Raw genomic sequence first — 11,516 nt, 5'->3', positions numbered from 1 at the left:
TGTCTGCTTCTGAGACTTTTTGCCTCTCCCCTCCCCTCCACTACCTTTTCTTGGTCATATGGTCAAGAATATGTTTCATTAGTTCTGTTTGCTTTCCATCTTACCTTTGTATTTTTACTTGTGTTTGCAAGCATATACCTTTTCCCTGATTTTTCCTGGCTAAGCAAATGTGCCTAGCCGCCATGCCAATGCCACACTACCACCGGAACACATCCCCTAGCACCTTCTGCCTGTCAACTTATTCCTCAACCAGCACACAAAGCAAGTTAATTCTAAAGAGTTCTCGTGGCATAGGTCAAGCCCGGGACTTCTGACACTCTTCTCTGTTGCTAAGTAAGATGCCAATAGGAAATCAGCTGCGTGTTAGCTGCCACTTTATGCACTGTTGAGTTCTCAAAGATGGTTATGTCACACAACAAAGTACTGGCCTAAAACCCAGGTTCCTGTCTTGACTTCTCCCTTTTTTTTTTTAGACACAGAGTCTTCTTGCTCTTGTCACCCCAGGCTCCAGGCTAGAGTGCAGTAGCACCAATCTTGGCTCACCGCAACCTCCGTCTCCCGGGTTCAAGCGATTCTCCCTGCCTCAGCCTCTCAAGTAGCTGGGATTATAGGCAGGCGCCACCACGCCTGGCTAATTTTGCATTTTTTTAGTAGAGATAGGGTTTCTCCATGTTGGTCAGGCTGGTCTTGAACTCCCAATCTCAGGTGATCCGCCTGCCTCGGCCTCCCAAGGTGCTGGGATTACAGGTGTGAGCCACCACGCCTGGCTGACCTCCCACTTTCTATAGGAAGGATTCACTTCACTTCCCTGAGCTTTAAGTTCCTTGTCAGTATATGTGAGGCCATGCCAGAGCGCACTGTAGTGCTATGCACACCTAAGGGACTGGTTAGTAGATACCATTTCGTGGCAGCAAACAGAAGCCGAGGATAAGGGGGCTCTCTTACAAGTGAATTCAAAATTTGGGTTAATAGTAAATGTCAGTTTTTTGTTTTTTTGTTTTGAGGCAAAGTCTTCGTCACCCAGGCTGGAGTGCAGTGGCACCATCTGGGCTCACTGCAACCTCTGCCTCCAGGGTTCTAGCGATTCTCCTGCCTCAGCCTTCCGATCAACTGGGATTACAGGCACCTGCCACCACGCCCGGCTAATTTTTGTATTTTTAGTACAGACGGGGTTTCACCATGTTGGCCAGGCTGGTCTCGAACTCCTAACCTTAGGTGATCCACCCACCTCAGCCTCCCAGAGTGCTGGGATTATAGGCGTGGGCCACTGCGCCCAGCCAATTTTGTCAGTTCTTATGCTGCAACAGTCAAGTATGTGATGTGTATCCTCTTGTTTTTAATAAATTCCAAAAACACACTAATGGAAGTTTAATACTGTTTGTTGCTTATCCATCTCTAGGTCTCAAGAGATGTCTTAACTATGCTGTGAAAAGTAAGAACTCTCTTTAAGAGGATGTTTCTTGGCTGGGTGCGGTGGCTCACGCCTGTAATCCCAGCACTTTGGTAGGCCAGGGCGGGTGGATCACCTAAGGTCAGGAGTTCAAGACCAGCCTGACCAACATGGTGAAACCCCATCTCTACTAAATACAAAAAAATTAGCTGGGCGTGGTGGCTCATGCCTGTAATCCCAGCCACTTGGGAGGCTGAGGCAGGAGAATCACTAAAACCCGGGAGGCGGAGATTTGCAGTGAGCTGAGATTAAGCCACTGCACTCCAGCCTGGACAACAACAGTGAAACTCCGTCTCAAAAAAAAAGAGGATGCTTCTTCACTATTAGGGACCCTAAAAAATAAAATAAAAGGCCATAGAGTTTCATCTTCCAGAGCAATTCACAGTTGACTAGAGAAAAGCCATATTCATATATCTACTGGTTCAAGAATCAACATGTATTTTAAGCTAGTCTCTATTTTGGTTCTTAATTTCATCACATAATTAATAGTTTTAGGATATACTGGAGCTTTTCTCTTAAAAATAAGTAAAGCTCCTAGCACAGTTTTGTATTTCTTATATAGTTTTTTTTTAACTTTTCATCTTGATGTAATTATACACTCAAAAGAAGTTGCAAAATAGATCCCCTATGCCCATTACCCAGATTCCCCCAGTGATGACATAGAATTTATCAAAATCAGGAAACTGACATTGGCACAATACTCATGTAGGATTTTATCTGGAAGTAGTTACTATCAAAATGAACTTAGGTGCTACTTTTTCAAATTAATTTAGAAATTAATTTTGGCCTTCTGGCATTTTGTAAAAAGCTAATAAAACTCTAAAAATATGTTGTCAGGCTGGGCATGGTGGCTCACGCCTGTAATCCCAGCACTTTGGGAGGCCGAGGCGGGCGGATCACCTGAGGTTGGGAGCTTGAGACCAGCCTGGCCAATGTGGAGAAACCCCATCTCTACTAAAAATACAAAATTAGCTGGGTGTGGTGGCACGAGCCTATTAATCCCAGCTACTTGGGAGGCTGAGGCAGGAGAATCACTTAGCCTGGGAGGCGGAGGTTGCGGTGAGCTGAGATCGCACCATTGCACTCCAGCCTGGGCAACAAGAGCAAAACTCTGTCTCAAAAAATAAAAAAATAAAAAAAAATATATATATATATATAGAGAGAGAGAGAGAGAGAGAGAGAGAGAGAGAGAGAGAGTCATGTAAATAATGCATTATGGCCATTGTCATTGAAAAGATAAAATTAAGGCATGTTAACTTTGATCTGCCATGGTTTCCTGCAAGGTTAATTTGCATTTGCTCTAATAAAAACAGTCCTTTACACTTTTAAGAATTCATGGCCGGGCACGGTGGCTCACGTCTGTAATCCCAGCACTTTGGGAGGCTGAGGCGGGCAGATCACGAGGTCAGGAGTTCGAGACCAGCCTGGCCAGCATAGTGAAACCCCCATCTCTACTAAAAATACAAAAATTAGCCAGGCATGGTGGCGTGTGCCTGTAGTCCCAGCTACTCGGGAGGCTGAGGAGGGAGAACTGCTTGAACCCAGGAGGTGGAGGTTGCACTGAGCCGAGATCACACCACTGCACTACAGCCTGGGCGACAGAGCCAGACTCTGTCTCAAAAAAAAAAAAAAAACACACACACAAAAAAACATGAATTGTTTTTCTCTTAAGGGCCTCAAATATCTACAGCCTTGAGGTTCCATATTTTCAAATTGGAAGTGCGTGACAAGCCAGGAGGCATAGTGTGAATTTCTAACTTAGTACTAGAGTTTCGAGGTATTCTTATCCTTAGGAAAATAAGTTTTGTTCAAACTAAAATACAGTCAAGGACTTGTTTTCTTTAGACTAGATCAATTGACAAACAACCTGGCCCTTTTCCTCTCGGCATGTGAATCATACAACTTGTTAAAGAGGAGTATTGGGTTTTATTCGGAGAAAGGAGGAGAGGAGAGTAGAATTGGGTAGAAGGTTCAATTTGTCTGAACTTGGTTGGCCTCACCCTTCACTGCTTGTTAACTACATGAAATCATGATTTAGCCATGTCTAATGTAATTTGATTGCTGGGAGGATGCAAATTTTCATGTTTGCTTTTCACCTGAATGTATCAAATTTCACTATGCTTTAACCTCAGCCACTAAGAAGCTATTACTAGAGCGTGTTTAAACAAGCTTACTTCTGCCGTCATGTTATCTGTCCAGAATTCAGAGTGGCAAACCATACTTGGTGTGTATGTTTTTCTGCACCTGAGGAAATCATTTACATTAAGGCAGCTCTGTGATAGTCAGTGTTCCTCAGCGTCCCCGCCACATGGCAGCAGGTGGGGTTTTGGTGTGGGGAGGGGGCTCGGGAATGGAAAGAAAGGACTCCTTTCCAGGTACTAGTTTGCACTTGTCTTAGAGAGAGAGCTGTGGGGGCTGGGCATGGTGGCTCATGCCTGTAATCCCTGCACTTTGGGAAGCCAAGGTGGGCAGATTACTTGAGGTTAGGAGTTCGAGACCAGCCTGACCAACATGGTGAAATCCCGTCTACTAAAAATACAAAAATTAGCCGAGCATGGTAGTGCATGCCTGTAATCCCAGCTACTCAGGAGGCTGAGGCAGGAGAATGGCTTGAACCTGGGAGGCGAAGTTTGCAGTGAGCGGAGATCGCACTACTGCATTCTAGCCTGGGCAGCAGAGCAAGACTCCGTCTCAAAAAAAAAAGAAAAAGAAAAAGAAGGCCAGGCACGGTGGCTTACGCCTGTAATCCCAGCACTTTGGGAGGCTGAGGCGGGTGGATCTTGAGACCAGCCTGGCCAAGATGGTGAAACCCCGTCTCTACTAAAAATACAAAAATCAGCCGGGCGCAGTGGTGGGCGCCTGTAATCCCACCTACTCGGAGGCTGAGGCAGTTGAACTCGTGAGGCGGAGTTCGCAGTGAACCAAGATCGCGCCACTGCACTCTAGCCTGGGCCACAGAACAAGACTCCATCTCAAAAAAAAAAAAAGAAAAGGAAGGAAGGGAGGAAGGAAAGGAAGGAAGGAAGCTGTGATCTCAGGCTATCAGTTTAGCGTGCCTCTCTTTGGCCCATCACCTCTCACCCTGGGAATCCTGAAACCTACCAGGAACCGCAAGCAAGTAAACCTGTAGCAAGCTCCCTAAAACAGCATCCAGGAAAACACTTATATTTGTTCTTTTTTTCCCCGCTAAAAACGCTGTCTCACTGAGGGACCAGTCCTGAGGAATGTACATGTTATCAGTTAACTTGACATTTTGCTCTGTTGTAGAAAGGCAACGCCTTCATTCCTTGGACATAACTCTGGGTCCTCGTCAAATAAACACCCTAGTCATGCTTCATGCCTATTTCTTCATTTTACAGTCATGAGGGTTTAGCCCAGTGCCTTCCCCTGAGACTGCATGACTTTTGTACACTCCCCTCTTGTGTAAGTCAGAGTGAATCGTGTCTTTCTGGCCCGAGCCCCAAACCTTCCTTGGGCTGAGCCTCAGAGCCGCCTGGGGTGCAACATGCAGGAAGCTGTGTTTTGTGTTTTGAATTCCTGGCTGTCCTGATGTTCTTGGATGAACCGGTGTCCTTGTACACAGTGTCTCTACTTAGTGATTGATAAAAGTTCTTGGCTGGGCAGAAGCCAGTTGACAGTTCCTGCAGTTGGGTGAGTCACGGGAGCCTCCGCTCATCCGCTCCGGGCTGCAGAGGCAACTCCAGGCACCCACAGCGGCTCAGACGCGTGATAAGACTTGTCTGCACACCACATCATCCCAGCCCAGGAGCCTCTAATTACACGTCTGGTGTTTGCAGGAGCCCAGGTGGCCTGTGCTTCCATGGGCTGAGAACTGTGAAGATAGCACGGGCTGGGTTCTCACTGCCAGCGCAGAGGCCAGGGTGGGGGAGGCACCTCAAAGTCCTAATGCGTCACCTCAATACCAATGATAATACCCGCATTCTAAAGAAAACAACAGTCCATTTAATCATGCGCTTCTTGTTTTCTAAAGCACTGCTACAATTTTATCTTCCCATAGACATTTCGAGCCCTTGTTTGTTTGTTTGTTTTTACATCTCACCTTTCCATTCACCCTTCTTAGTACAGGCAGAAAACTACCTGGCACTGTGGGAGACTGAGTATAGGAGAAAGCAGGATGACGATGGGCCTGAATGGTGGTGTGTTTTCCTCCACACAATGTGGCTTTGTCCTCCAAGGTGTCTCACGTGATGGAAGCTGGCTGATCTGACTTGCTTGCAGATGTCTGTAACAGCATTAGCAGCTTCCAATTGTCAGGAGCTCGCTGCTTGCCAGGCACGCTGTCGGGCACACTGAAATGTTGTGGGATGGCGCTGGGATCAGCCCTAGAACCATGAGACCTACTTTCACAGAAAGGACACTCATTCAGAGCAGGGCAAGGAAGTCACTGTCACCGAGACCAACACTGCTCCTGGCCCATGCCAGTCAGTGGCTGATGGACGAAGCTGCACTGTGGGACAGTGAAATGCGACGTTTGTTGATCCTGTCAGGAACATCGTCTGTGCGGGAGGCTTCTGAGGACAGCAGCCAGAAATCTGTTTTGTTTTTGTTTTCACAGTTACATATTTTTTTTTCTTCCATGCTTAGCTGATGCTGAATCAATTCGACTGTTCCTTTTGTAAGAGTCCACAAACCTTAACAATAATAGACAGTCATTTGTCATCTGGCAAGATGAGATTGAGAAGATTCTCAGTGAGAAACTGAATTTACCCAACTGAAATGTTCACTTAAAGTTTTTTTCCTCTAAAACCTGGACTACTCATCTGTGGATGACTTCTACTCATGTAATTTTTTTTCTCAAATTGGATACTTAAATGATTCTATGTATTTAGTAATCGCAAAAAGTCAGTTTTATGGATACAGTTTTCTCTGAACAGTTTTGGTATAGACAAAAAGAGGTGTTACCATCCACCCGGCGTGCATTATAATTCTGTCCTTGCCTAATCCCCACCCAAATGCCCATTTCCATCTACACGAACTCATTCTTTCTGAATCATAAATGCCACACCCTCAGTTGCACATAAAACTTTGCCATATTATGTATACATCAGTGTGTACGAAGACAAGTTGTGGCTTAGAAGCAGTCCATTTACAGTTTCTGGAACTGTTTATCATCTCACTTCTCCATAACTGATTCTAGGTCTGAAAGGTTTCCTTCTAAAATTTGATAGCCTGATTTTGAGGATATGTTTTCAATGCCTTTTCTGGTTACAAATCCTGATGTTGGCAGGTCTTTTTCCTGTAAGCATGAAGACCAACCAAGACAAGGTACACTGTGCTGTTAATCAAAGTGGCACAGAACAACTATGTGACAGGTCATAGCCAGGAGTGTAATGTAACATGGATATGGAGGGCCACAAAGAGTCCCATAGCCCTCCTGCTACACATCTGAAAATCTCCTGAAATTCAGAATAAACCCATTACTGAAAAACAAAAGTGTTTATTGGCATACCAGACTGTTTCAGGAATTCATGAAAGATAGAAAACAGATGGGTCTTGTGTGATGGAGAAATAAGACCAAAGAAAAGACCAAAGGCTAAAAGATCTACAGGAGGGGCCGGGTGCAGTGGCTCACGCCTGTAATCCCAGCACTTTGAAGGCCGAGGCGAGTGGATCACTTGAGGCCAGGAGTTTGAGACCAGCCTAGCCAACATGGTGAAACCCCATCTCTATTAAAAATACAAAAATTAGCCAGACATGGTGGCTCACACCTGTAGTTCCAGCTACTCGGGAGGCTGAGGCAGGAAAATTGCTGAACCCAGGAGGCGGAGGTTTCAGTGAGCCGAAATCTTGCCACTGCACTCCAGCCTGGGGGACAGAGTGAGACTCCGTCTCAAAAAACAAACAAACAAAAAAATCTATAGGAGATGACTTCTGTGAAGGTGGCTGTGAGTTCTGAGAAAGCTCTGCCCTTTATGGAAATAGGGAACAGGAAGGAGCCCTGGGGCAGGAGTCAGGGTGATTATCTGGGGGCTTTTGGAGGATCAGCCAGCTGCCTTCGCCCCCTTCCCCACCTCTCTCATGCTAAACTGTGTCACAGTGAGTATGTGCACACAGGCCAGAGCACTGGTGACAAGAGGCACAGCAAGACCCTGGGTAGCAAGAAATCTGCACTATTTCTAGGTGGGCTAGAAAGGCCCTCCTGACTGAGAGGACTCAGCCTTCCTCACACTGCCCTGTGTTTCCTCTGCTGTGGTTATCAGAGGCAAACTCATGTCATCAGAACCTGGTTCAACAGACAGGAGAATAGGAATTTTGAAATATGAGCCCAAAATTTAAATTGCGAAGCATTTGAGGAAAATTAATATCAAGAAAAGTACAAAACTCAATAAACATGCAACTCCCCATGCAAACATTTCACAAAGCAAACATGTTAAAACAATCCTTGGAGATTAGACAGAACATTATATTCGTGAAATAAGAACAGGCTGTTAGGCTGGGCACGGTGGCCCCTACCTGTAATCCCTGCATTTTGGGAAGCCAAGGCGGGCAGATCACAAGGGCAGGAGTTCGAGACCAGCCTGGCCAACATAGTGAAACCCCGTCTCTACTAAAAATACAAAAATTAGCCAGGCATGGTGGCGTGCACCTGTAGTCCCAGCTACTCAGGAGGCTGAGGCAGGAGAATCGCTTGAACCCGGAGGGTGGAGGTTGTGGTGAGCCGAGATTGCGCCACTGTACTCCAGCCCAGGCAACAGAGACTCCATCTAAAAATAAATAAAAAATAAGAACAGGGCCCACTGCAGTAGCTCATGCCTGTAATCCGAGCACTTTGGGAGCCCGAGCCGGGCAGATTATGAGGTCAAGAGATGAAGACCATCCTGGCCAACATAGTGAAACTCCGTCTCTACTAAAAATACAAAAAAAATTAGTGGGCATGGTGGCGGGCGCCTGTAGTTCCAGCTACTCGGGAGGCTGAGGCAGGAGGAGAATCGCTTGAACCCAGGAGGCAGAGGTTGCAGTAAGCCAAGATGGTGTCACTGCACTCCAGCTTGGTGACAGAGCAAGACTCCATCTCGGAAAAAAAAAAAGAACAGATTTTGTTTTGTTTTGTTTTGGTTTGTTTGTTTTGAGACGGGAGTCTCGCTCTGTCGCCCAGGCTGGAGTGCAGCGGCGGGATCTCAGCTCACTGCAACCTCTGCCTCCTGGGTTCAAGCGATTCTCCTCCTGCCTCAGCCTCCCAGGTGCGTGCCACCAAGCCTGGCAATTTTGTGTATTTTTAGTAGAGACGGGGTTTCACCGTGTTAGCCAGGATGGTCTCAATCTCCTGACCTTGTGATCCGCCCACCTCGGCCTCCCAAAGTGCTGGGATTACAGGCGTGAATCACCAAACCCGGCCAAGAACAGGCTGTTTAGTAAAAATGCCAAGGGATAGAAAGTGTGAAGAAAGGTTAAGAGACATTTGGAATCTGAGAAGAGTACAGAGTGGTGGCATAGATTAAATAATTAAAATATAACATGAAAATTTCTCCGATCTGAAGAAAAATACAAGTCTTCATGTGGAAAGGGCCCTCTGAACGCCAAATGATTTGCTTGAAAATAAGACTACGCCTAGACACGTTTCCCAAAATTTCGGAACACCAAGGATAAGAAGAATAAAGCTTCCAAAGAGAAAAACAAAAAGCAAAAAGTCACCTACAGAGGAGTAAGAATTATACAAGCCCCAGCAACACAGAATGCTAAAAGAAAATGCAATAATATTAATATCATCAAAGTTCTAAGAAAAAAGTTAGGTCGCACGCAGAAACTCACACCTATAATCCCAGCACTTTGGGAGGCCAAGGTGGGTGGATCACCTGAGGTCAGGAGTTCAAGACCAGCCTGGCCAACATGGTGAAACCCCGTCTCTACTAATAACACACACAAAAATTAGCTGGGCGTGGTGGTACACACCTGCAATCCCAGCTATTTGGGAGGCTGAGGCAGTCGAATTGCTTGAACCCGGTAGGCGGAGGTTGCAGTGAGCCGAGATCGCGCCATTGGACTCCAGCCTGGGCAACAAGAGCGAAACTCCATCTCAAAAAACAAAACAAAAAACAAACAAACAAAAACACGTTATTTTGAACCCAAGTCCTGTACTCTCTACTCAGCCAAATTACTATTCAAATGAAAGGTCAAAATAAAATACCTGGGGGTATACAAAACCTCAGGAAGTTTGTCACATTCAGATTTGCTCTCTGAAAGAATTGCTCAAAGATTGCAACCTAATAAGACTAAGAGAATCCAGGCGCTGGGTGCAGTGGCTCACGGCTGTAATCAAAGTTCTAAGAAAAAAGTTAGGTCGCACACAGAAACTCACACCTATAATCCCAGCACTTTGGGAGGCCAAGGCAGGTGGATCACCTGAGGTCAGGTGTTCAAGACCAGCCCGGTCAACATGAGGAAACCTCGTCTGTACTAAAAATAAAAAAATTAGCCAGGCGTGGTGGCACATACCTGTAATCCCAGCTACTTGGAAGGCTGAGGAAGGAGAATCACTTGAACCGGGGAGGCGGAGATTGTAGTGAGCTGAGATCACGCCACTGCACTCATGCCTGGGCGACAGAGTAAGACTGTGTCTCAAAAAAACAAATCCAAAAAATAGGAAAATGTGGTATCCAGTGGGCAATTATAAGCAAAGCAGCCATTATAACTTATAGTTAAGTTTAAGTAATTTTAAAATTTTTTTTAATTTTTAATTTTTGCGGGTACATAGTAGGTGTATATATTTATGGGATACATGAAATATTTTGATATAGGCATGCAGTGCATAATAATCACATCACGGAGAAGGTTTTTTTTTTGAGTCAGAGAAGTTTAAGTAATTTTTATGTATAACTAAAAAATTAATAATAATAGAGAACTAAGATCTGGGATTGCAAGGAGAAGTTCAAGGATGCTTAATTCAAGGAGAAGAAGAATGAGGACTGAAGTGAGAACAGACTAAGGTTTTTATCTTTTTGGAGGAAAGGATAGAATTGATTAATTCTGGTCATTGAAAAATTTAGGGGCTGGGTGTGGTGAGTTGCGCCTATATCCCAAGGTCAAGGCAAGGAGGATGGCTTGAGCCCAGGAGTTTGAGACCAGCCTGAGCAACGTAGTAAGACCTTGTCTCTAAAAAAAAAAATACAAAAATTAGCTGGACATGGTGGCTCATGCCTGTAGTTCCAGCTACTTGGGAGGCCGAAGTGGGAGGATCGCTTGAGCCTGGAAGGTTGAAGTTGCAGTGAGCCAAGATCACACTACCGCACTCCAGCCTGGGCAACAGAGCCAGATGCTGTCTCAAAAAAAAAAAAAAAAAAAAATAGAAAGAAAGAAACTTAGTTGCCACTGTAACAGTACTAAGAGATGTGACCTTTAAGAGGTGTTTAGATCATGAGGGTGCCACCCTTGTGAGTGGACTATTGTCAGACTGCAGGAATGGGTTCTCATTATCACAGGAGTGGCTTCAACCCCTCTTGCTCTCTCTCCTACTTTTCTTTTCTTTTCTTTTCAGACAGAGTCTCACTCTGTCATCCAGGCTGGAGTGCAGTGGTGCAATCCTGACTCATTGCAACCTCCACCTCCCAGGTTCAAGCAATTCTCCTGCCTCAGCCTCCCGAGTAGCTGGGATTACAGGCACCTGCCACCACGCCTCGCTAATTTTTGTATTTTTAGTAGAGACAAGGTTTCGCCATGTTGGCCAGGTTGGTCTCGAACTCCTGATCTCAGGAGATCCACCCACCTCAGCCTCCCAAAGAGCTGGGATTACAGGTGTGAGCTCCCTCACCTGGCCTCTTCTACTTTTTCTTTGCTTTTCCACCACGTGATGTCTTCTGCCATATGATGACATAGCAAGAAGGCCCTCACCAGATGCTGGCACCTTGCTATTTGACTTCCCAGCCTCCAGAATGGTGAGACAATAAATTTCTGTTCTTTATAAATTACCCAGTTTCAGGTATTCTGTTATAGCAGCAAAAATGAACTAAGACAAAAAAAAAAAGAAATAAAACATCTAAAAATAAAATTTACATATAATAATTAAAATTATTATACCAATGGATGCATTAGCCACCAGAATGAACACAGG

The 11,516-nt window shown here is 45.4% G+C and overlaps 1 long non-coding RNA gene across 1 annotated transcript, besides 2 other annotated features; it reads right to left on the bottom strand.

Annotated features, from left to right (window-relative positions):
* Positions 167-461: a silencer, noted in NCBI's record as "tiled region #3772; K562 Repressive non-DNase unmatched - State 23:Low". NCBI's record gives its function as "represses a minimal TATA promoter and a strong SV40 promoter by Sharpr-MPRA in K562 cells {active_cell/tissue: K562}" and the evidence as "EXISTENCE:reporter gene assay evidence [ECO:0000049][PMID:27701403]".
* Positions 3,357-10,963, bottom strand: LOC124903834 (uncharacterized). The gene is made up of 2 exons (XR_007065451.1): positions 9,362-10,963; positions 3,357-6,102 (listed from the first exon to the last, which is right to left on the bottom strand). It is a non-coding gene; the product is annotated as an uncharacterized LOC124903834 (long non-coding RNA).
* Positions 5,027-5,321: a silencer, noted in NCBI's record as "tiled region #3725; K562 Repressive DNase unmatched - State 1:Tss". NCBI's record gives its function as "represses a minimal TATA promoter and a strong SV40 promoter by Sharpr-MPRA in K562 cells {active_cell/tissue: K562}" and the evidence as "EXISTENCE:reporter gene assay evidence [ECO:0000049][PMID:27701403]".
* Positions 10,964-11,516: the final 553 nt, after the last annotated feature.

This window comes from Homo sapiens, chromosome 1 (genome assembly GCF_000001405.40).
Source record: "Homo sapiens chromosome 1, GRCh38.p14 Primary Assembly".
Taxonomy (NCBI): Eukaryota; Metazoa; Chordata; class Mammalia; order Primates; family Hominidae; genus Homo; species Homo sapiens.
The sequence above is the reverse complement of the archived record's forward strand: the minus strand, read 5'-3'. Positions and strand labels throughout refer to the sequence as shown.